Below are 25,618 nucleotides of genomic sequence, written 5' to 3'. Positions count from 1 at the left end.
GAGCAAAAATGTTATTACTATGAATTCTCCTAGAACTAAAGTAACTAGATATTTTCTTAGAAATACTTCATTCAGAACAAGTAAATATGCATTGTAGAGAAAATTGTGGCTTGAATTGCAGGAAGAAAGGCAGAAACACAAAAAAATAATACTTTGTCTATAGCAGTGTTTCAATTTTTAAAAATTGAGCTTATATAATGAGAGATAGTAATGTAATGAGTGGGGTAGATGGAAGAAAGCCATTCTAGGCTATAATCCTAAAAGGCTTTTGGATTAAATAGGTCTACATTCCAACCTTTGCTCAGTAAACAATTCAGTCTTATAAATGTTCACTCTTGTTGGTGTGCTTTACTTACTTTCATAACCTGTATAAGAAAAATAAATGAACAAACAAAAATCTGTCTATCAGTGTTGCTTTGAGGATCAAGTGAGTTTGCAGGTGTGAATTGCCTAGCAAATTGAAACATTTCCTTGAAGGATTGGGACAAGTTATATTATTTTTCAATAAATATTCAGTCTCCCTTTTCTTGTCAATGAAAAGTCTGCATTTCATCCTTGACCATGAGTACTTTGGCAATGGATGTTAGCTGCTTTGACTTAATTAATATCTGAGTAGAGGCTTCAAATGTGCTTAAGATGTTTTGGATTACGCTTTCAGTACCCTGTCCTTCACCACAAAAGGAACATATCTATATTAGTTGAGGTTCTCCAGAGAAAGAGAACCAAAAAATATTTATTTTGAATAATTTAATCATGCAGTTATGGAGGCTAAGTCCCACAATCTGTCATCTGCAATTGGGACTCCCAGGAAAGTCAGTGTGGTTCAATTTAGTACAAGCAGGAAGGCCTGAGAACCATGGTAGGCAAAAGTGTAAATCCCAGACTAAAAGCAGGTGAAAACCTATGTCCTTATGAGGCAAACAGGCAGAAGACAAAAATAGCAAATTTATCCTTCCTTCACCTTTTTGTTCTATTGAGGCTCTCAATGGGCTGGATGATCCCCACCCCTCCCCTGGGGAGAGTGAAGTTCCTTGAGTCCACGAATTCAAACGCTAATTTCATCAGGAATCACCTTCACAGGCACACCTATACATGTCTTATTTGGGGGACACCCCATGGCGCATGGAAATTGACATATAAAATTAATCATCACAGTGCCCAAATACTCACTCACCGCTTTATAGTCTGGAGCCTAAAAAGAGAGACAGATGGAGCAGATTTAAGCCAGATTGTTTTCTTTCTCTGTAATTTGTGCTTGAGGTCTCTCTCTTGACAGTGTGTATGAACGCTCGGCCTGCCCTGACAGGACTTCAGAGGATTTGGTTGTGGATGTTACAGTGTGCCTTTCACAGTGTACTCCTTTACCCTGGCAGAAAGCCTATTCCTCAAGTGTCCAACATGGGATTCACTAGGCCTATTGATCACCGCCCCTTCTCCCGCTCCCTGCGTGGACTGGAGACCATTGTTCAGTTACAGCAGTGTGGGAATCATGTTGGATACGTGGACAATAGGCTGTCTGCCAGTGTCACACTGCTGTGACTGAGCAATGGTCTTCAGTCCATGCAGGGGGTGGGGTGGGGGGAGCGCGGTGGTGATCAATGGGCCTAGTCCAGAAGACTCTGTCTGTATGTCCCATAGGGAGGTCACAAAGAAGTCCTTATTGAGGGCAGATATCTGGACTCACCACATTCAGTAACTGGGAGAGAGCTGAGAACTGGAAATTTGGTGAGTGATGTCTGTGTTCTGCTCCTGGTACAAGACAATCTGATACTCAAAATAGATGCCCAGGCAACATAATATTATAAGTATTCACTGTAAATCCATAGCCCAGTGGAAAGCCACAGCCAACCTGCAGATTTAAGAAAAAGAATTAAGAGTTTGTTATTCAGCCAGGTGGGGTGGCTCACGCCTATATTTCCAGCAGTTTGGGAGGCCGAGGTGGGCAGATCACGAAGTCAGGAATTCGAGACCAGTCTGGCCAACATGGTGAAACCCCATCTTTACTAAAAATACAAAAAATTAGCTGGGCGTGGTGGTGGTCGCCTGTAATCCCAGCTACTCCAGAGGCTGAGACAGGAGAATCACTTGAACCTGGGAGGCAGAGGTTGCAGTGAGCCGAGATCGCACCACTGCACTCCAGCCTGGGTGACAGTGTAAGACACTGTCTCAAAAAAAAAAAAAAAGTTTGTTATTGTAAGTCACTAAGATTTTATTTTATTTTTATTTTATTTATATTACAAAATGTTGACTGATATAGGGGCCAATAAGCACTACATTTTTCTTGCTCAAGTTCAGAGATTTTTCTCAAGGCCAACCCAGCAGGAGGATCCTTTATTTACTTAAACAAACAGTTAGAGTCCAGTTATGTTTTTCTATTATGGAACAGGTTAAACATGTGAATCGAACTTTGTTTTTTAAAAGCTCTGAAACAAGAGACTTATAACAAGCTTACTAATGAAAAGGTAGCATTTGCTGTAACTTGACTGCATAAAGTAAGGCCTGATGAAAATGAAATATTAATATGCAGGTTATGTTAGATGCTGCTTCGGAATTTCAGAAAAATGAACAGTAATCAAATGAGGGTGTCACATAATACACAGCAAGCAGAGAGCCAATTATGTAAATGAACACCCAAGGTTAGCTTGATACAATGCTCTTTAATTTGACAAATATTAAAATCAACTTGTTCTTAATGTAATAGATGGCTGTGACAAAAGTTAAAGAGCACCCAGTGTTTTTGTAATCCCTGTCAAATTAAAAATGCTAATGTGAGTGAGCTGCTTTCATCAGTACAATAGTTGAAAGGCCCAAAATGTACAACATTTCCTGGGTTTCAGTAACATTAGACTAAAACGTTTCTGAGATAAAAGTCATAATGACCAGTGTACATCTACTTCCAACAACTGAAAATACATAACGGTAAACTCCTGTTGCCTCAGTACATTTACAAAATAAGAAGAGCTTCTCCCATTTAGCTGATTTTATTTGAATAAACTGCAGATACATTTTCATAATTACGTGAATTTTATTCATGACTCTATAAAAATGATTTGGCAGAATCTATCTTCCTTTTTTATCTTCTTACTTACTAGTCTACTTTCCCAGCTAGTCTACTTTCTTTTTTTTAATCATTGCTAATAATATAAATAGAGAATATTGATTTAATTTTCTGTATAAACTAAATGCATATGTATACTTACATTTATTAACGTGTGTGTGAAAACATAATCACATAAGAAAAAATATATAGCCATATGATTTTCAACACCAAAAGAATACCATATTTACAAAATCACTGGGGTGTTTAATATTATTTAATTTTTTTATTTTAAATTTGATAATAATTGTGCCTCATTTGGGGAAGGTAATATTTTTATTTTTAGTGTTTAGTGATTTATATCTGAAATTTCTTTCTTTCTATAGAACTATGAATATATGATTCTCCTAAGCTTTGATTATCTTCTAAGAAAAAAATGAGAAAATTATTTTCACCTTGACAGTGTTCTCGTTCTCGCTAACAGGTGTCAAATTGTTTTTATGTTAGCCTATAATTTTCACCAGAAGAAAAACAACAGAATGAGGAAAAGAAAGGGTTTAGGAAAGTAACAAACTTACTTACACACTTAGACTTTTATCTCTAGAAATCATTCTCTATAATTAAACAAAATGGGTGTGAATTTTCTTTAAATTAAATGTACTCATTTCATGTCTTTGAACCTGATGATAAAAATAGATAGTGGATATTTCAGAAATATATTCTTAATAATTAAAAAGATGAGCTATTAATTATTCTTTAGTTTATGTACTAGGGTTTTATGAGACTGGAGACTATAAAATCTGTGTAAACTGTTTAAGTGAAAGAATGTAAAATTTCAAATACAAAATTCTGTATACAGAGAATATAATATAAATAAAGCAAAGAAATTGTTCATGCAATGAAGAGTCCTGAAGTCTACAGTTTATTTCTAAGAAATCCATTCTTTTTTATATATAATAATTGACAAAGCCCTTGTTCATATTAATAAATACTCCCTTTTCAAAGAAAGAATAGCATTTTGAAATAACAATGTGTAAGAGACGCAAAACAAGGTTAAATATAAGAAAGAATATATGCAGAAAAAAATTAATTGACCATTTAAAAATACTATAATGCTATACTCCAATAAATTTTGATTATAAAAATGTTTTAAATATAAGCATTTATGACACTCAGGAAGTTAGGCAGAAAAGGTTAAAGTACATTATATGATTTTGCCATTTTTGCTCTTTGCATTGTATTACATATAGGATAAAAGTATTTATTACATTTTAGATGAAAATCTATTGCAACACTATACCTAGCTTCTTCCAAACTCTGAAGACATTAACAGAAAATAAATCTCAGTTAATGATATTCAAGGGATGTATTAGTAACAGAAGCTCATAGGATCTCCCACCTACACACTTCCTTTTGAAAATCACAAATTAAATTATGTAAATTAAATACACAGGTTTTATTTGATAATCATCATAAAATAATATGAAAGCCTGTATGAGAACTTCAGATATTTAGAATAAACAGTTTCTCATTGTTATATTAGGTAATAATAATATGTTTTTTAGTAAAAATAATGTAAGTTTTAACTTCAGCTATTCTATGTAGAATAACTAAAATTTAGAAATAATAATGATTTGGATCACAGTTTTGTAATCACAATATTCATTAATTAAATACAATAAAATAACAACTGGCTAATAAAATACTCAAATTACCTCTATAATTTTGTGCAGTGATTGCAAAGAGTATGCTATAAAAGCTCTATAAGCTCTAATGTCAAATATGATAGCTAGTAGACACATATGATAGCCATTAGATACAAATAGCTATTTCAGTTTAAACATCAGTTAATTAAATCAAATTAAATTAAAAATTTAGTTCTGATGTCAAACTAGCCACATTACAACAGCCACATGTAGCTGATGACTACCATATTTGGTAGCATATGGACAGTTTTCATCATTATATAGTTTTTTTTTAATCATATAGTGTTACAAGAAAGGCTCTGGGAAATTGCACCACAAGTCAATCATTTGTTGATCTACCACTAATGAATTGAAAATCTCCCAGGCACCACCATGACATTGCTTTATCTTGTGTTTTTCAGCTCTATCTTTACTTGTTATGTACTGGTGATTTTTGTTTCTTTATTTTTCAAAGTTTTGCTATTTTAAGAAGTGTGGAAATCAATGAACTTATAAATTAACATATTTAGATATTTTAGGAAATGAAACGTTCCTTTTTACTCAAACATTTTATTACAAAAATTGTTAACATACATAAACATTGAAAGAATAGCATATAAATCCCATATAAACCCTGCCAATGTTTGAACACTCCTTTCTTAGTAATTGATAGAATGATAAACAGAAAATCACTAAGGATGTTAAATATTTGGACAATATGCTTAACAAAATTTAATATTTGATATCTATTAAATAAACAACTCAAGAATATATGTTATTTTGAGTGCAGCAGGAACATTTACCAAGTTAAATGTTCAAGTTAAAACACAAATTCTTGTCTAATAAACACTCATGATAAATGTCAAGGATTTCAAATATACTAACTGAGTTTTCTCACTAAAATTGCATTAAATTAGAAATCAAAAAGTATGTACCTACAAAATTACCAAATGTTTGAGAATGAAGTATAACATTTCTAAATAACTCATGTCAAAAAATAAATTAAAATAAAAAGTTGTAGAATATTTCAAACAATATTAATAAAGCTACAGCATATCAAAATATGTGAGATGAAAATAATGCAGTGTTTTGATGAAAATGTATGGCCTTAAATACCTATATTAGAAATACAAACTGTATAAAATTATTTAGAAAGTAAAAGAAAATAAACAATAAAAACAAAATAACAATCATATATAGATGAACATTTCAGAACGTTAAAAAAGCCAAAATTTTGTTCTTCAGAAAGATTAATACAATTGATAAATCAATCCAAAGCAATGTCGATTAGGAAAATAAAGGAGAAAAAGCAAATCAACAATAGTATAGTTCTTACAACATGAACTATATGTAAAAAATGACAACTTAGATTAAATGGAAAAAATTCTAAAATAACTTCTCTTACTAACACAGAAGAAAGATGGAAAATATAAATAACATTCTTTATAATAAAAAAATAAATTTCTACTAAAAAAAGTTCCCACAAATAAATCTTCAGGCACAGATGATGTTCCTGGAAGAATTCTATCACACTTTTCCTTCATAAATAACATCACCTTAATATACATACATACTTTCAGAAAATAGAAGAGAATGAGAGCCTCAACAACTTGCTATAGGAAGGCAGAATTACCCAAATACAAAAATATGATATTGACATTACAAGATAAGAAGAACACACCACACAAATATCCTTCAGGAACATCAACCCAAAAAGGCATAACAAATATTGGTAAATGAAATCCAGCAATATATAAAAAGTTTTATAATGTCCATGACCAAGTGGAATTTGTCTGAATAGTCATATAATAAATAAATCAATTTAATAAGTACATAAACATCTTTTCAGAAGGGAAGCCCAGACCCAGATATTTTCAGAACATGAATTCATTGTTTATTCTTTAGCCCATAAGATGTGAAGGTGAAGGCCTGTTGACTTCAGCAGTGAAGTTTCATCATCTCAGTTTTCTGATTCCTACATCACAGCTTTCTGTCACCAGGAAAAGGAGAACAAGAAGTCAAGTATTCTTGAACTCATTGTTTCATTAGTGACTTCAGAGATAGTGGCTTCCCTGGTAGGTCTGTTCTATATTGTTCTTATAATCATTCTATTAGGCTTAGTGAGAACCTACTCGTCAGCCTTTCCAACAGTTTTCTAAGCATTTAGTTATCTGTAGCAATTTTCTTCTTAAATTACATAGGGTGGTTTCTGTTTCCTGAGGCAAATTCTCTCTGACAGACTCATACTATTAATATTTGAATGTCAAATACTGTGTACTTGCTTAAAAGTAACACCAACCATTTAGTATATAAACTTTGAACACTTAAATTGGAATTTTGTTTTACTAATTTTCTGATTATTTTCTGTATATCTGACACATTGCAGAGCTTATACTCCATAATTATATGAAGCATTTTGTGGGAATTTCCACAAATGTTAAAATTTTGTAGGAATTTAGTTATTTCTCTTTTCAATATAACCAGATTTATTATTTTCAAGACATTCAACAATACTGTCACCATATTTTTGGGGGGGGTATTTATATTCATAGATTAACAGATTTTCACATTTGCTCAGTCTTCCTCATTCTCAATCTAATGCATGGATTTATTTTTTAAAAAATATCAAGAAAATATAAAAATCAAAGACATAAGGGGGCTGAGGTAAGAAAGGTAGTTCAGTGAATATAGAATTATAAGTAATCATAATTTCTTTATTTTGCATTTGAGTTTTGCAACTGCTCATCGTAGTAATTTTTAAGCCACTGGCATGCCTTACCCACATTAAATGAGTGTGATTGTCTGCTTTTTAAACATTCCTGCTACCAATTCATTGTTTTTGGTTTTTATCCTCTTGTTTCTGGTATAGTGTCAATTTTCTTCACATTACTTTAGATATTTGTAGTCAACCTCAAAACCTTACATATGAAGTGTAAAGGGAAATACTCGGCTTTAATAAAATTGAAATTTAAATAATAGATTTTACATAGGGTTGTGATTTGATCTTGTCAGTCTTGGTTTACATTTATGAACCTAGCATGTTTATTCAGGGTGATTTATTATGTTCTCAAGATTGTCTCGGCTTTGTATGATTCTTGTGGTCTCCCTACTTATACCATTTATGCAATATAGACATCTCCTACTCTTTCAAACTCTACTTTTATAGGCATTTGTTTATAAATAATGCACAGTTTGTCCTGACTGCTCAGTTGTTACGTTCTCTAAAACATCAGGATCATTTGTGTCGATGCATTTTAAACATGCCACATCCTATGCCTCATTAAACACACCTAATATCTTATCTTACTAATGCAATTCATCCTTTAGGTCTTAGCTTACATGAAATTTCTACAGAAAGGACTTTTTGAACAACCGTTAATAATTTGATTACTCTTTTTCTCTTTTATAACAATCTGTCCATTTTTCACATCCTCAAATATCATATTTAATATTTATCTTCTCTAATACTCTGTAAACTTCAGATTGGCAAAAGAAAACATAAATGCTTTGTGTACCACTGTGTACACAGTGTCCAAAAGACTTCCTGGAATACACAGGTGGTGTTTAGTATTTAAAGGAATATAAGATTACTCTAATGCAAAAATGATCACCCAGATAATTTGCCTTTCAGGATGATTTCACTGTAAAAAGTTATGCATTACAAATAAACTCATAAAAATGTGATTCTATTAGCAAAGTATTGAAACTGACCTCATAGAAATGTTGTGAATGTTGATAATTCGTTAAGAAATGTCATTCTTGGGATTTATATATTTTTATGGCTTCATGGGCAAAGGTAACTGGAAGGAAGAAGATAAAGACAGAATTATTCATTTATGCTAACTGCCAAAACTTATTTGTAATTAATTATTGCCTGGATTTTGATTTAGTGAAAGCACTACTACACTATTTTACATCAAGAATAATAACGTTGTTGGAGTAATAGCCTCTCATTCATTTTAATTTTAGACTTATTTTTGTTTATATCTACAATCTTACTTATTTAGTGTAATATGTCTATTTTATGTCCTTTTTATCTACCTTTTTGTTTTAGTTTTAATTGATTATTCTAATTTCCCCTCTGTTAGTGTATTATTTATATAATCTTTTACCATTCTGATAGTAATTACCATAGAAGTATCTAAATTTATGATTGATTTCTTACAATGTAATTTAAATTATATCCTTTACCACTTTTGGGATAGCTTAAGACAATTTGACTACTTTTGTCTTTCACCTTTAACATTGCTGATATCACATTAGCACTACATACATTTTAAATTTCATATGTTATCATTTTTATACTGTATAGTAAATATGTAGTCAACATTTATTTTCATTTATCCCTATATCTAAACATTCTATTGCTCTTCCTTTTTCATGTCATTCCATCTTTCCATCTGTGATTATATTCTAGCTTAACAAATTTTTAATGTATTTCTCTTAGAAGTCTGATTGAAATGGACGTTTAAACTTTTGTCAGATAAAATGTTTATGAACTCTTAATTTTGAATGGCATATTAACAGAATTTAAAAGTTTAGTTTGGAAGTTATTTTCTTTCAGCACTCTAAAAATTCTATCCCACCTCTTCTAGCTTATTTATGTTGAAAACTCAGTTGTTAGTCATCTCACAGCTACCATGACACTAATGTGTGTATTTTTCTCCAGGTAGTTTTAAGATTATCTGTTTTATTTATAGTTGTCCTACTATAATATGCCTTGATACTTTTGTAACTATGTTATTTATGGCTAGTAGATAATTTTGATTCTATGGGTTGATCTCCGTATCACCCATTCTTTTCTTTTCTTTTCTTTTCTTTTTTTTTTTTTTTGTGACGAAGTCTTGCTCTGTCACCCAGGCTGGAGTGCAGTGACACGATCTTGGCTCTCTGCAAGCTCTGCCTCCCAGGTTTACGCCATTCTCCTGCCTCAGCCTCCTGAGTAGCTGGGACTACAGGCGCCCACCATCATGCCCGGCTAATTTTTTGTATTTTTAGTAGAGACGGCGTTTCAACGTGTTAGCCAGGATGGTCTCGATATCCTGACCTAGTGATCACCGCGCCCAGCCCTCACCCATTCTTTTCTAGTAGCGGCAGTGGTCTTGAATTCAGCTTGACTATGCAGTTTGTAAAAACAATAGCTTCACCTGAAACCACATTTATGGGCCGGGCACGGTGGCTCACACCTGTAATCCCAGCACTTTGGGAGGCCGAGGGGGGAGGATCAGGAGGTCAGGAGATCGAGACCATCCTGGCTAATAGGGTGAAACCCTGCCTCCACTAAATACAAAAAATTAGCTGGGTGTGGTGGCGGGCCCGTGTAGTCCCAGCGGCTCGGGAGGCTGACGCAGGGAGAATCGCTTGAACCCTGGCGGTAGAGCTTGCAGTTAGCCGAGATCACGCCACTGCACTCCAGCCTGGGGGACAGAGGGAGACTCCCTCTCAAAAAAAAAAAGAAAAAGAAAAAGAAAAAACCACATTTACTGAATTTGAAGAAAGGAAACAGCAAAAAACATTCACTAACAGCATAGCAATGATCTCCTGATTTTCATGCATAGCATCTGATGTCCCAGTCATGTGTATTCACTATGTGTTTGTTGACAACCTCAGCTCCAGAAAGGTATCAATTATGGGATTGCTTTGGCTTAATTACATTTCCAACTCAGGAAAATAATTACTCAGGACAATGAGATTAGCTTCCATTCTCCAGGTAAGCTGCATCTCATCAGTCCCGGTTATTTATTACTCAGTCTCAACAAGCAGTTACAGGTGCTTGGTTTCACACTCTGTTCAGATTCTCATTTGTCTTAAATGAAACATGTTTAGTCAATCTTGAGTAACCCTATGAGTAAAAGTTATATGGAGTATCCAAAAATGCAAAAATCTTTAGGTATCTCTAAGGTTATAATAAAAATCTTAAAATCTTCTAACCCTTTTCTTTGGATTTACCTCCATCTTAGTCTCTGGAATGCTTGCTACAGTTTACACAGACATTTTAAAAAATAATACTTTGGGGAAACATCTTCAATACTTGATACGTTAAGACTATTAGGAATTCCCTCCTGGAACACATTAAACATAACCATAACCCCAATGCTTACTCATAGTACTTTACTACCTGGACTATTTGTCACACAATTTTACCTACCATTACTTGAAACTTTCTACAGATGTTAATAGAAGCATTTAACTGTGTGTGTAACTTTCTCAAAGCTAAATTTCTTTCTTTCTATTAGTCTCCATGTATATTATATTAGTTTGAATTTTACATCAACTATTCAAAATATTTTTCTCTTAGGGATTGTTTTCTGTAGACTTTAATTTTTATTTAACTATACATATAAACCAAAATAATTTGTATTATACACATAGCTATTGAAAAAGTATTCATGTAGAGATTAACACAGCAACCATTAGTTAATAGTAATGTAATTGTTAATACTAATGTAATTGTTTTATACCTTATTTGGGGGAAAAAAGCCACAGATATTCATTTTTGAATTACTTAATGTTATCGTTTATATATTCTTGGAGAGAAAGTGCTCTTTTCTTATATACTCTACATTTTATGACTTAGAATCCTTAGAGATCACTACTCAGCAAAATCTACGGTCCTTCCTATCTTGGGGCATAACTTTATGACTTGGGGCAAGTCACAAAGAACACATGTTCTTTGGCTCAAGTTTCCAAGTATCACTAGGGAAAATCATTCATTCATCTTGCATTCATTCAACATGGCATTTATATTCATCTGACTCTTCCAACCAATTGTACCAGAGGAAATATGGGTTTCTTTTCCTTCACTGGCACAGTGGCTAACAGGAAGCAGAGGTAAGCCCCACAATTGACAGTGATGAGTTTGCATTATATACACAGACCACAGGAGTCTCAAAAACTGACCTCACTCTTCTGACCCTTCAGCATTCCCAGTCATGTCCTTTAAACATACCAGAGCATATTGGAATTAATATGTTAAAAATCTTTCTTTAATGAAGGTTTATACCTTCACCAAGATTTCTACTGAGTTTAATACAATATTAGTGTTGAAATATTTGAGCAAAACATCTCCCTCTGCCAGAAAAACAAATACTGTCCAGAGCTGGTTTGATTGCATCCGGCAAGGTAATGGCACATATTTGTGACTTAGAAGAGAGAGAATTTTGTGATCTCATGACTTACCCAACACATGAACCAATTCCCACTGAATCATATAAAACTTTCCCAAAAATATTCCTCATTCACTACTTCTCATATTCAAATGAAAGACAGATTCACTCAGTTGAGGGAGCCAGCCCTTAATTTCCTTACCTTGCCCTATGGTAGTTTCTTTGGCTATATAGCGAATTACTTCAAAACATACTTTGAAATTGTGAGCAAATGAACTCATCATCAAACAGTTATTATGGTGCTGGATTACACAGGTTAAGAATTCAAATAGGTCATAATGAGGATGGTTTTTCCCTGCTCCATGATACCTGGGGCCTAAGAGGGATGACTCCAAGCCTGGAGGCTAAAATTATTTGGTTCTCATTTCTTCAAAAGAATGCTGGCTTGCAGTGGGAATGAAGGGCCTCATTTACTTTCTACCTGGGCCCCTACCTGTGAACTCACCATGCCCCCTCCCTAACAGGATGGTGCTTGGATTCCAAGGGTTTGTATTCTTAGAGTGAGCAGGAAAGAAGCAATATCCTTTGTATGGCACATATATCCCTTTTGCCATATTCTAGGGGACTAAGAAATTACAAATTAACTAACATTCAATCCAAGATGAAGCTATGTGTCACTTTTCAGTGAGAGGAGTGTCCATAACATTATAAGCAAGACATGCAAGAGAAGAGACTGAGAGAGGAGAATAAATTGTGGAAATCAGTGAAAAGTCCAAAATACTGGTAATTGGAATCCAATAACGTAAAGTGATAGATAATAAAGAAAAGTAATATTTGAAAAGATAATGGATACAAATTTTCAAAACCTGATGAGTGTCATTAGAAGACAATGTTAATGACTAGTTGTGTAGTCTTTTCCTCTAGCATCAGACACACCAGAGAATTTGATCTTTCATTAAATCCACCTTACAACATTAACTCAAGGAACAATTAGGAATCTGTATGGGATCAATGATGAATAAGAATTCAGCCTAGGTTATGTACTGAACAAAACCCTTGTATCTCATTGTTAAACATTATTTAACAAGTAATGAATGGCTGGATTTCATGAGATGTAACTGAACAGAAAAGGGGGTTATTTATGAATCCTTTGAGAATTTTGTAATTAGCCAGTCCTATATCCTTGAGGGAATAATGTGACCAGCTAAGGGTATTCTTTGAAGGGTATTCTCTATGGCTTTTTTGAAATGACCACTTTCTCAAACAGGCTCACCTCTCATGTTTACATACATCATGAGTGGCATCAAGTCATATCCTTGACTTTAGGATATCTGAACCTTTGGAAATTGTAACTAGAAGTCTTAAAACATTAGCTACGTATTGATTCTCTCACCTTCAGAAAAATGGAATGTCCTCTTTCATAAGGTAAATCAATCTGATATGGAATGAAACCTGTTTTGTGTTTTTTGTTGTTGTTTTTGGTTTTCCTAATGAAGCAGATTGTCAATCCAAACCTATAACCATTGTTGTTTGAAAGCATGAGCATTGCAGGGTAGTATCAGAAGCGGGGTTGACTGTTAGTCTCCAAAATCTATTAGTTAAAGAAATTTTAAGTTAAAAATATATATGTATAGAAAAGAGTTAAAAATTTTTGATGATGGCATGGTGGTCCTCCTGTCCTTGGTTTGAAGAACTGAAAGCAGCAGATATTCAGTGGTGAATCTTATCAGTGGAATATAAATGAAATACCTTTATCTCAAAAAATTGATAAAATAGATTGCAAAGAGGGGGTGTAAAAAGTTGGTAATGGCTATGAAATACCATTTTCTGAGTGTGCCAACCCTTAGCAATAATACGTCCACTGATATGAGAAGGCAAAGTAAACAAAACTGAGCAAAGAAAAATTTGAGGCATATTTGAAACTATGGCAGGAAAAATAATGCCTCCCCCAAAAGTTGCCGCACCCTAATTGCCTAAATCTATGTATATGTTAATTTAAAAAGCAAAAGTAACTTTTGAAGACATAATTACAATAAGGCTATCGAGTTGGAGAAATTTTCCTTAGTTATCTAAGAGGACACAATATAATCACAGGGTCCATATAAAAGAGAGTCAGGAAGGTCAGAGTCAGGAAATTCAGAGTCAAAGAGGGTCCATATAAAAGAGAGATAGGAATATGACAACAGAATAGGAGATCTTTGGAGTAAAGCAGCCAAGAACCAAGGAACACATGCACTTTTCAGAAACTGGAAAAGAAAAGGAAATGTTTTCTTCCTTAGAGTCTCGGGAAGGAATACAGGTTTGCTAACACCTTGATATTAGCCCCATAACAACATTGGACTTCTGACTTCCAGAACTGTAGTATAATAACACTATATTGTTTTAAGTCACTATATCTGGGATAATTTGTTACAACAGCAACAAAATGTTTAGGTACCAGCAACATAAGTTTCGAATATGCAATGATGAGTAATGAGGCAAGACAAATGATATACCTCTGATCTAAACAATGGTAGATGCTATGATTCAGATAGTACTCATTCTCTGTATGGACTTTATTCAACCCTCCTTTTAAGAGGGAAAGAGACTATTTTGGAATCTGGGCCAATTCGCTACCATGCAAATGTGCTCTTCATTGGTATTAGCAATGTTAGAGTCATTCAAAAGAAGGAGAATGGCTGACAGAAAATAATGATAATAAGAAAGAACTAAACTAAACTGAGTAGTACCATAATATTTAATAAATAATGGGATAATTTAAATAGATAAAATTAATATGGTTGCCATAAAAGAAAAAGAAAAAGCGAGAAAAACCCTAGTGGTGCATTGTTGCTATCTGGATAGAGGAAAACCAATCCCTGGGTCAGGTAACACACCAGCTTAAACAGCCTGTTAAATATGTTCCCTTTATTCTATCTTGAAAAAATTTAAATCCAATAATGCAAAAATGGATGGAAAACAATATCAAAAACCAAAGCTATATAAAAGATGAGATTAAACTGAATCTTTTAATGTGGTAGTGGTAAAGGATGAATGACTTGAGGCTTAGTGTTATCTCCCCAAACCTCTATCTAAGACTCTAAGACTGCATGCTAAGGTTAAAGTTAAATAGTCTGCGGTAGAAAACAATATATTTTGAGAGGAATAGATTTTAATGCAAAATATACTGGAAGACAAGAAGACACAATTAGATGACTTAAACTGAAACATGGGGGCCACATTCATACTATGGCAGCAGTCACCAGCATTATAGCATAACTATAGATTAACCTGTACCATGGTATGGTAACATTACCTGCAATAGCATGCCTAATTGGGAAGAAGGAGAGTATAAATTGGAATAACTACCATTGATGGCCTACAGTTGAATATTGGGCAATTCTGAAATTTGTTATATTATTATAAGTAATAGGAAACTTTTAAATAGGAAAATTTTAGAACAGCTGAAACTAGAAATACAGTATTTAATAAAAGAATGGTACAAGTAGGCACACTTACACTCAAAATACCTCCAATTACAAGAATCCTGTGAGATTCTAAGGAAAGTTAGCACAGTCGAGTGACTATGGTTAAAAATAATTTATTATATATGCCAAAAGAGCTAGAAGATTTGGAATGTTCCCAACAGAAAGAAATGATGAACGTTTGAGGTGAAGGATTGATTATCCCAATTACCCTGATTTGATCATTACACATTTGCATGTAAATATAAAAATGTCACATGTACCCAATAAATATAAAAATTATTATGTATCAGTTAACAAATTGAAAAAAGTATATAGTTCCTGAAAAGCAAATGTTCACTTTACGGTTTAAATTAATTCCACCAATGGCCTCTCTGTTTCTAGGTATGAATACACTAAAGTATAAAGTTGATTGTTATGCTGTCATACAGGTAGCTAAGGTTTTCTTTCATTTTCTATCTTAGTTTTGAAGAACGCTGAACACCCGTTCTTTTTTTGTAGAGGTGGAGTTTTCCCATGTTGCCCATGCTGGTCTGGAACTCCTGAGCACAGGTGATCCACCCGCTTCTGCCTCCCAAAGTGCTGGAATTACAGGCATGAGTGACTGCGCCTGACCCATTTCCTTGTTTCTCTTTTCTTTGTTTTTCCCACCTCCCGTAGAAACAACTGAAGAACAGCAGAATACAACTATTCGTTCCCTAGGGCGCCTAAATTTCCCAGTGTTCCTTTAGAATCTGATGAGATGAGGTTTAGATCTGATGACCATCAAAAGTAATTGGATTCTTTACATTGATTATATTATAGAATTGTTTTCAGAAAAGATAGTCAAGAAATTTTAGGAAATGTAATATATAACTAATTGGTATAGCCTATATGCTGTACCAATAGGATATATAATAAGATATATAAGCAACGGTTCATTAAACCATCTAAAACTTAGGACTCAGGCCAATCTTTTAAATCATTAGGGATATTCTCGGCATGGACCTCAAGAGATAGAAAATAAAAATATGAAATATATACTGGCTTTACTGAATTTTTCTGACTATAAAGTTCTATAATGTTATATAAGACTTTTTGTATTTTTATTGACACATATTCTTCCAATGGGTATCTGATTAGTGACTACAAATATCGTTCCCAGAAATAAATATGAATATTATGTGATTCAGAACAAAAAGAGGTTTCTGAGAGACTTGCAGACAATAGTAGTCCAAGGGGTGGCATTTGGGATATATAATGCTAAAGCTGGTTTATATCATCAGTGATAATATATCTTATTAGATTAGTATGATTAAGAATAAACTTGTTATGCTGAAGTGCTAACCCGCTCCTTAAGCCTACTCTATGTTTCCCAACACATTTAATTTTGCTCTTGCTAAATATCCACCTCAGGTTGGCAGAGATTCAGACAGAGTATCCATCTTGACAAGTCCTTTCAGAAACAGTAGCAGGGAGAAAGTGGATATAGAGAATCATGCACTAAGCTTCGAAAGTTTATAAGCAAAAGTGCCATGGGTTTCTTCTACTCAGACTCCAATGTCCAGGCAAGTCATATGGCCACATGTAACATTACGGTGTGCAGGAAAGTGCAGTTTTATTGTGTGCCCACAAAGAAGAGATCCAAAATATTTGTAGTAATTCTAATTATTAAAATATGCAGGCTTATTAACTTGGATCTATTAATAACGGTAGCTAGGAATTAGAATTTGCTATATTGTATGTACCATATTTCATTTGAACATGTTGTAAAGTGTGGGCACAAAAATATATTATTTTTAAAGGTGCTATGCATCTCCCATATGTATATTTTGAAGTTATATTCTAATTGCTCACAACCGTTAGAAACCATTCCTCTTTTGTCTGAGTACAATTATATTTAGATTTAGTAGTTTAACACATAGAGTCTAAAATGTTTCAATTTATCGAATTAGATTGTGATCATATTAAAGGAATAAAGATATTGAGTATGCTCTGATGCAAAATTGTTATGTGCCCACTTGAATTACTATATTAACATATTCAATAATTAAGATGATAATGTTCAAAGGCATTTGCAATAGTAAAATATTCCCTTTTGTGAAGGTTCCTTATTCTCTCAATTCTCCTGAATAGCTAAAAATAATTATTTCGCTGTTGTTTTTTACACGTTTATTTTACAAATACAATGTACACATATGTGTTTATATGATTAGTTGTACATTATATTTTGTTGATGCAGAATGGGTGACTACATTTTGCTAAAAATATGACAGTTAATTTACAAGTCCCCTATAATAAACAGCGTAGGAATTAGAAGGAGAGTCACATAGGAAAACATACGTATAATTCTCTTGGGTTCATTGATTTTTCCCTAGTAGGTTGTGTTGATAAAAAGATTTAGCTTTCTTAAGTTTCCTTATCCTAGTCTCAGGTGTTAGACTTTTATTTTCTTTCTCATTTTCTATTTCCCTTAAGTTCTTATCTGTCTATATCCCCTTGCTTCTTTGCTTTGGATTCTGCCAACATAACTTTACAAATCTTTTTAGGACATATGGGAATTGGGGTTCTAGAAATATTTCTGAAGGTGAGTTTCTTACCTGTATTCTTCTAGTTAAGCTTTCAGAGTACTATGTGGAGTTGTCCTCATTTTAAGTCCCCATTATCATATCCTGGTATCTACTTACAGTTTAGCTTCCAACTCATTCTATTTAGGATAAGTGTATTTTATCTGATTTTCTTTCATACTCATGAATCCTTCTGTAACAAACTGTTAATCTGTAATATTACTGTTCTGAAAAGTGGAGTACAGCTTCAGCATGATTCAAAGTATTATATTGCAAGAATTTTCTTCATTCCACTTTAAAATTTGTGAATGCAAAATAATTCATCCATGTTTGAGAAGTCAGAATTAATAAAATATTCAAAAGAAAATAAAAATAAATGTAATTTTAACCTCTATAAAATACAAACAATATAAAAATGTAACAAAATATTACATAACAATTTATAAAGGTCATTTAAGTCCTTACTTTACATATACATGTATGTATGTATGTGTAAATGTATATGTATGTATAGACATACATGTGTGTGTGTATATATATGTATGTATATACATACATGTACATTTACACATACATACATATACATTTGTACCAGTTCTTCTCTGTATGTCTGGTGGAATTTGGTTGTGAATCTATGTTATCTTGGGCTTTTGGGGACAAAATAATTTTTATTATTGATTCAATATCACTACTTGTTAGACGACCATCTGTTTAGAATTTCTATTTCTTTTTGTTTCTTTATTCATTTCTTCCAGGATGCATAGTTTGTGAGTATAGAGATGTTCATAGATGTCTCTGACGGTCTTCTGTATTTTTTGTAGTATTGATTTTAATGTCTCTTTTTTCACTTCTGGTGATGCTTATTTTAATCTTTATTCTTCATTTTTGGTTAATCTAGCATGTAGGCTATCAATTTTGTTTATCTTTTCAAACAACCAAATTTTAATTTTGTTAATATTTTGTATTGATTTTTGTCCCCTCAACTTCATTTAGTTCTGCTCTTATCTTTATTGTTTCTCTTCTTCTTCTCTTTGGGTTTGGCTTGTTTTTCCTTTTCTAGTTCCTTCAGATGTGACATTGGGTTGTGAATTTATGATTTTTCTTTCCTTCGATGTCAGCAGTTAATGCTATAAATTTTCCTCTTAGCACTGCATTTGTTGCATCCCAGAGATTTTGGCATGTTACATCTCTATTTACATTTGTTTTATTATTTTTAATTTTTAGCTTAAATTTGTTACGAACTCAAAGATCATTCAAGAGCAAATTGTTTAATTTCCATGCATTTGTATAGTTTTGAGAATTTCTTTGTGAATTGATTTATAGTTTTATTCCTCTGTGACCTGAGAAGATACTTGACATAATTTTTATTTTAAAAAATTTGAGACTGTTTCACGGTGTAACATATGGTCGATCAAATATGACATAATATCTATCAATAAGATAGACCATATGTTTGTGGCCCAACATATGATCTATTATCAGCACATGGAACAAGTCTAAAGAATGTTTCAGCCAGTAATCCCAGCACTTTGTGAGGCAGATGTGGGCAGATCACTTGAGGTCAAGAGTTTGAGACCAGCCTGGCCAATATGGTGAAACCCCATCTATACTAAAAATACAAAAATTAGCCAGGCGTGGTGGCACACCTCCAGTTTACTCAGGAGGCTGAGGCAGGAGAATCCCTTGAACCTGGTAGGCAGAGGTTGCAGTGAGCTAAGATCACACCATGGCATACCAGCCTGGTATGCTAGACTCCATCTCAAAAAAAAAAAAAAAAATTCCACCTGCTCATGAGAAGAATGTATTTTCTGCTGTTGCTGAGTAGAACGTTACGCAAATATCTATTATGTTCATTTGGTCTAAGTCCAATTAAAATCCAATTATTTTGTTAATTTTATAGCTCAATAATCTGACTAGTGCTATGACTGGTCAGCTAGTACAGCTAGACTATATAGTATAGTCTAGTATATAGACTAGTATATAGTATATAGTATAGTTTAGTCTGGTATAGCTAGACTCCATCTCAAAAAAAAAAAATTCCACCTGCTGATGAGAAGAATGTATTTTCTGCTGTTGCTGAGTAGAACGTTATGCAAATATCTATTATGTTCATTTGGTCTAAGTCCAATTAAAATCTAATTGTTTTGTTAATTTTGTAGCTCAATAATCTGACTAGTGCTATGAGTAAGGGATTAAAGACTCCTACTATTATCGTGTTGCTGTAAATTTCTTTTCTTTGGTCTAGTAGTATTTTGTTTTTATGAATCTGGATGTTTTAGTATTGGTTCAGTATATCTTTAGGATTGTTATGCATTCTTACTAAATTGATCCCATTATCATTATATAGTGACCTTCTTTGTTTTTTTTTATACTGCTGTTGATTTAAAGTACGTTTATCTGATGTAAGCATAGTTACTCCTGTTGGCAGTCGGTTTCTGTTTACATGGAATATTTTCCCTTTTACCTTGAATGTATAATTCAGTGTGGTGTCTTTAAGCTGCATATGGTTTGATTTTGTACTTTTTCTCCATTCTGCCAATTTATATATATTTTTTATTTATTATACTTTAAGTTCTGGGATACATGTGCAGAACGTGCAGGTTTGTTACATAGGTATACACGTGCCATGGAGGTCTGCTGCACCCATCAACCTGTCATCTACATTAGGTATTTCTCCTAATGCTCTCCCTCCTCTAGCCCCCACCCCCTGACAGGCCACAGTGTGTGATGTTCCCCTCCCCACGTCCATGTATTCTCATTGTTCAACTCCCACTTATGAGTGAGAACATGTGGTGTTTGGTTTTCTGTTCCCGTCTTGGTTTGCTGAGAATGATGGTTTCCAGATTCATTCATGTCCCTGCAAAGGACATGAACTCATCCTTTTTTATGGCTTCATAGTATTCCATGGTGTATATGTGCCACATTTTCTTTATACAGATTATCATTGATGGGCATTTAGTTGGTTCCATGTCTTTGCTATTGTGAACAGTGCCACAATAAACATATGTGTGCATGTGGATAAATGATCTCTTTTTACTTTTGAATTTGAATTTACTTTCATTTGGATGGGATTTTTAAATTTCCTTTTTGGAACATGGCTACAATGTATGCTGTCTAGGGTTTTTCGCCTTTGGTTCTAAGTGCTTTCAGTGGCAAAGACTCTCTGTATATGTGTTCCTTGGTTATTGATAGCCTTACTATGATGGTTTTCTCAAGTTGGTTGTAGTAGCTAGCTATGTACAGGGCTTGTGAACAGGCTCACAAATTCCTGCTGGGCTGGGATGGAGGGGGTGTCAGAAAGCTTCTTTTCTAGTGCTATGTACTCATGTCAGCAGATTTTGTATTGGGTCATGAAGTTCAATCTTCAGGCTAGTAGGTCCCCTCTACTACAGACATTCTGCTACTTTGTGTAGAGAGGGGAAGGGCCAAACCTTTCATGCAAGCCTTAGCCCAGTTGGGATGCTGTTGCCCCTAAGAGCCCTAGAATGATCCTCCTCTGGCATGCTTGTATCAATCCCCTGTTGGAGCAGCCACAGGTGTTTCTGCAGCAGTGGGTGGAGGTGGGAGGAGAAATGCCTATCCCCAAGGCTGTTCTCAAATACTGAGGTCAGTTGGCCACAGGGAGAGAATTTCACTTCTCCCTTGCAGAGCCAACTAAAGCACCCATATCTCCATTGGAAGTGTCACAGTCATTCTCAGCCCTTAAGCAGGGAGCTCTCAGGCACAGTAAATTATATGCTCTGATTTCTTTTGTCCCAAAAGCTGCTCCCTTGATGTGCTGCTCTCCACCTTCCCTTAGAAGCAACACTGCCTAAGGGCTAGAACACTGGGAACCTTGCAATCCTCTGTGTTCGGGGAGACTTGTGTGGTTGTTGCAAGCTGAGCAGGTGGTGGAGATGGTCTATGGGGGCTTTGGTGATGTGGAGACACAAGGGCAGAGATTCTCTAATTAGGACACAGTCCCCTGATGGCTGTACTTCCCAGTATAATGCCCCCCACCACGGCTTAGGTCCAGAGTGATATATGTTGGTAGTCTGGTGTAATGCCCTCAAGAAGAACCCAAGTTGCTGCCCACACCAGTGATGATTGGTTTATGAGAGCAGAGGAGCTCTCTGTCATTTCAGATACTGGCAGTCTGCCTCAGGGATGAGGAGATAAAAACATTCCCACTCAACCTTTCAACAAATTACCAAGTCCCTCATGGTTCCTATGTGACTTCTGCCAGCTTCACGCTTCCCTCTTTCTTTGTACCCTTGTTTATTCCCATTAGCTCTTTACTAGGCTCCACCCTTCCCTTGGCATTCTATTTGAGATATAATTATTCCCCTGTAACTTTGGTTCTACTTTTTGAGAAAAACTAATATCCAACATCTCTAGTAAGTCATCTTGACAAAATATAATTTTTGTTATAAGTAATTTTGCATAAATTCATAAAAGGCACCAGCCAAATATCAAGCACTAAAATTAACTGCTACCTCAAAATTATGTTTACTTTTGTGTGCTTTTAGATAAATATTCAATATCTTAAAACTTACAATTTCTAATACACATAGAATCTATGTAATGCAGATAAAAATCTTTGAATAAAACTTGAAATGGTAAAAGATATTAAAGCTTAAAACATATTTTTCTTCAAAAATTTTCAAGGGGCTTTATGATAGCTGACAAGAAGCACTTTGTACTCAACTCCTCCACTAGAAGCACCAAAATTATGAATAGATTATCACACCTCAAATCGATGAAACAAGAGAAAATGGAAATTCAATGGAAAAGTGACAGACAATAATTAAAGCAAAGGAGAAGGAAGCAAGGCAGCTTGCAAGGCCAGCAGTGGCTGAGAGCTGAGAGATACTCCCCAGTATGGAGAAAGAGTAAGCGAAATACCCTCAGAGGTTTACGTTTGCATCATGTACTCTGGCAATCCTAGCCATAGGAAAGACCCTTAACCCTTGGAGGACCCTGAAACTAACATAAAGAGCTAGAAGGAAATTGTGTGAAGGCACTGCACCAATGAGGAAGGTAGCACTGAGTCCCACACATTCTCTGAGACCACAGCAGCTACAGCAAGGCACCATTTTAGAGCCCCGTCTTCAACAGACTGCTCACTGTGCTAGAGTCCAACATCACTGGCGCTGAGGCACAAGAGACGTGACAGCTGCTGCCACCAGGCCTTAGGTGCAAGCAACCATGGTTGACCACACCTGAGACTGAGCAGCAAGCAAGGCTCCCCAATAACTGCACTTCACCTGTAAAGACATATAAAGTCTGAAAATAAAGGAATGACAAAAGATATTTCACGTAAATGCAAGCTAGCAGGACTAGCTCTAGTTAGAGTAGATAAAACAGACTCCAAGTTAAAAGCAGTTAAGAAAAAAAAAAGAAAAAGAGGACAATGAAGGGCATCATATAATGATAAAAGGAAAAATCTGGCAAAAGGATATAACAATTCTAAATATGTATGCACCCAACACTGGAGCACCCAGATTAATAAAGCATATATTCCTAGATCTAAAGAGAGAGACAGACTGCAATACAATAATAGTGGAGGACGTTAACAATGCACTAGCAGCATTAAACAGATCATCTAGACAGAAAATCAAAAAAGAAACATTGAATGTAAACTGGATCTTAGACCAAAGGGACCTAACAGACATTTACAGAACATTTTATCCAATAACTGCAAAATATACTACACATTCTTCTCATCACTACATGGAACATTCTCCAGGATAGGCCATATGTTATTCTTCAAAGCAGTTTCAACACATTTTAAAAAATTATATTATCTTCTAAGAACACAATGGAATATAACTAGATATCAACACGACGAGGAACTTTTGAAACTGTACAAATACATGGATGTGAAATAACACGCTCCTGAACAGCCATTGGGTCAATGAATAAATTAATATAAAAATAAAAAAAAATTATCACAAACGAAAATGGAAACACAACATACCGAAAACTATGGGATTCAACAAAAGCAGTACTAAGAGGGGAATTTGTAGCAATAAACATGTATATCAAAAGAATAGAAAATTTTCAAATAGTATAACAATGCACCTCAAGGAATTAGAGTAGCATGAACCAGACAAAGCCGAAATTAGCAAAAGGAAAGAAATAATAAAGATCAAAGCAGAACTAAATGAAATAGACATTAAAAAACACACAAGTTCAGTGAAAAGTTGATTCTTTGAAAGGATAAAAAAAAATGATTAAATGTTAGCTAGACTAACCAGGAAAAGACCCAAATAAACAAAATCAGAAATGAAAAAAGCAACATTGCAACTAATACTACAGAAATACAAAATATCATCAGAGATTATGAACAACTATGTATTAAAATAGTGGAAAACATAGAGAAAATGGGTATATTTCTGTAAACATACAACCTATCAAGATTATATGAGAAAGAAATAGAAAATCTGAACAGATCAATAATGAGTAGTGATATTAAATCACTGATAAAAAATCTTTCAACAAATAAAAGCTCATGGCTGAATGGATTCACTATGGAATTCTACCAAACATAGAAAAAGGAAATAGTACCAATCCTTCTCAAAGTATTTCAAAAAACTGAAGAGGAGAGAATTCTTTCTAACTCATTGTAAGAGGCCAGCATTCCCCTGATACCAAACTAACCAGAGGCCTAACAACAACAAAAATACTTACAGGTCAATATCCCTCATGAAGATAGATGCAAAAATTTTCAATAACATAATAGCAAATAAAATTCAGCAGGACATCAAAAAGATAATACATCATGATCTATTGGGATTTTTCTTAAGGATTCAAGGATGGTTTAACATATGCAAATCTATTGAAGGGATGTATCACATCATGAAAATGAAGACAGAAACATATACTCACAATAGATGTAGAAAAAGCATTTGATAAAATTCAACATCTCTTCATGACAAAAACTCAATGAACTAGACATATGAGAAACATACCTCAGAATAATAAAGGCTACATATGACAAATCCACAGCTAATGTCATTCTGAATGGGAAAGGTTGAGAGTCTTTCCTCTAAGCACTAGAATAAAACAAGAATGTTCACTTTCATCACTCTTTTTCAACTTAGTATTAGGAAGTCCTAGACAGTCCAATCAGGCAAAACAAAAAATAAAAGATATCCAAATTGGAAAAGACAATGTTAAATAGTTCCTATCTGCAGATGAAATAATGTTATATTTACAAAAACCTAAAGACTACACCAAAATAACTCTTAGTGCTTAAAAATAAATTCAGTACAGTTGCAGAAGACAAAATTAACATATACAAGTTAATAACATTTCTATACAATAATTAAATAGTTGAAAAATAAATCAAGTTGGTAATCCTATTTCCAGTAGCTACAATAAAAACAAAATACCTAGGAATAAATTTAACTAAGGAGGTAAAAGATCTGTTCAAGGAAAACTATAAGACATTGATGAAAAAATTGAACAAACAAATGAAAAGACATCTTATAGTCATGGATAAGAAGAATTAATATCCTTGAAATGACCATACTACCCCAAATAAAATACACATTCAATGCCCTCCCTATCAAAATACCATTGTCATTTTTCACAGAAATAGAAAAGCAATCCTAAAATTTTTATGGAACCAAGATGTAGTCGGAATAGCCAAAGCAATCCTAAGCAAAAAGAACGAAGTTCAAAACCTCACACAAACTGACTTCAGATTATAAGGCTATAATAATCAAAACAGCATGGCATTGGTATAGAAATAGACACAATGGGACAGAATAAAGCACCCAGAAATAAATCCAAA

The 25,618-nt window shown here is 34.0% G+C and overlaps 3 long non-coding RNA genes across 5 annotated transcripts in view; 2 read left to right on the top strand and 1 right to left on the bottom strand.

The window, feature by feature from the left end:
* Positions 1-8,518, bottom strand: part of LINC02342 (long intergenic non-protein coding RNA 2342) — a 16,034-nt gene extending 7,516 nt beyond the window's left edge. The window contains exons 1-2 of one of the 2 annotated variants that reach the window (XR_942055.1): positions 8,434-8,518; positions 1,685-1,849 (exon numbers count right to left, since the gene is read on the bottom strand). This is a non-coding gene — a long non-coding RNA (long intergenic non-protein coding RNA 2342). Of the gene's footprint in view, positions 1-1,174; positions 1,398-1,684; positions 1,850-8,433 lie in introns of those variants that run through there. The other variant, XR_942053.1, reaches the window with a different exon arrangement.
* Positions 1,577-25,618, top strand: LINC00550 (long intergenic non-protein coding RNA 550). Its single transcript, NR_038878.1, has 3 exons — positions 1,577-1,725; positions 16,688-16,839; positions 22,486-25,618. It is a non-coding gene; the product is annotated as a long intergenic non-protein coding RNA 550 (long non-coding RNA).
* On the top strand, positions 12,137-15,832 carry LOC105370254 (uncharacterized). 2 transcript variants are annotated; one of them, XR_942057.1, is made up of 3 exons: positions 12,137-12,373; positions 13,096-13,253; positions 15,794-15,832. It is a non-coding gene; the product is annotated as an uncharacterized LOC105370254 (long non-coding RNA). The 2 variants fall into 2 exon arrangements; XR_942056.2 differs by lacking the exon at positions 12,137-12,373 and adding an exon at positions 12,395-12,611.

The sequence above is a fragment of the Homo sapiens genome, chromosome 13 (genome assembly GCF_000001405.40).
Source record: "Homo sapiens chromosome 13, GRCh38.p14 Primary Assembly".
Taxonomy (NCBI): domain Eukaryota; kingdom Metazoa; phylum Chordata; class Mammalia; order Primates; family Hominidae; genus Homo; species Homo sapiens.
Note: the sequence above shows the minus strand (reverse complement) of the source record. Positions and strands in the feature narration are given on the sequence as shown.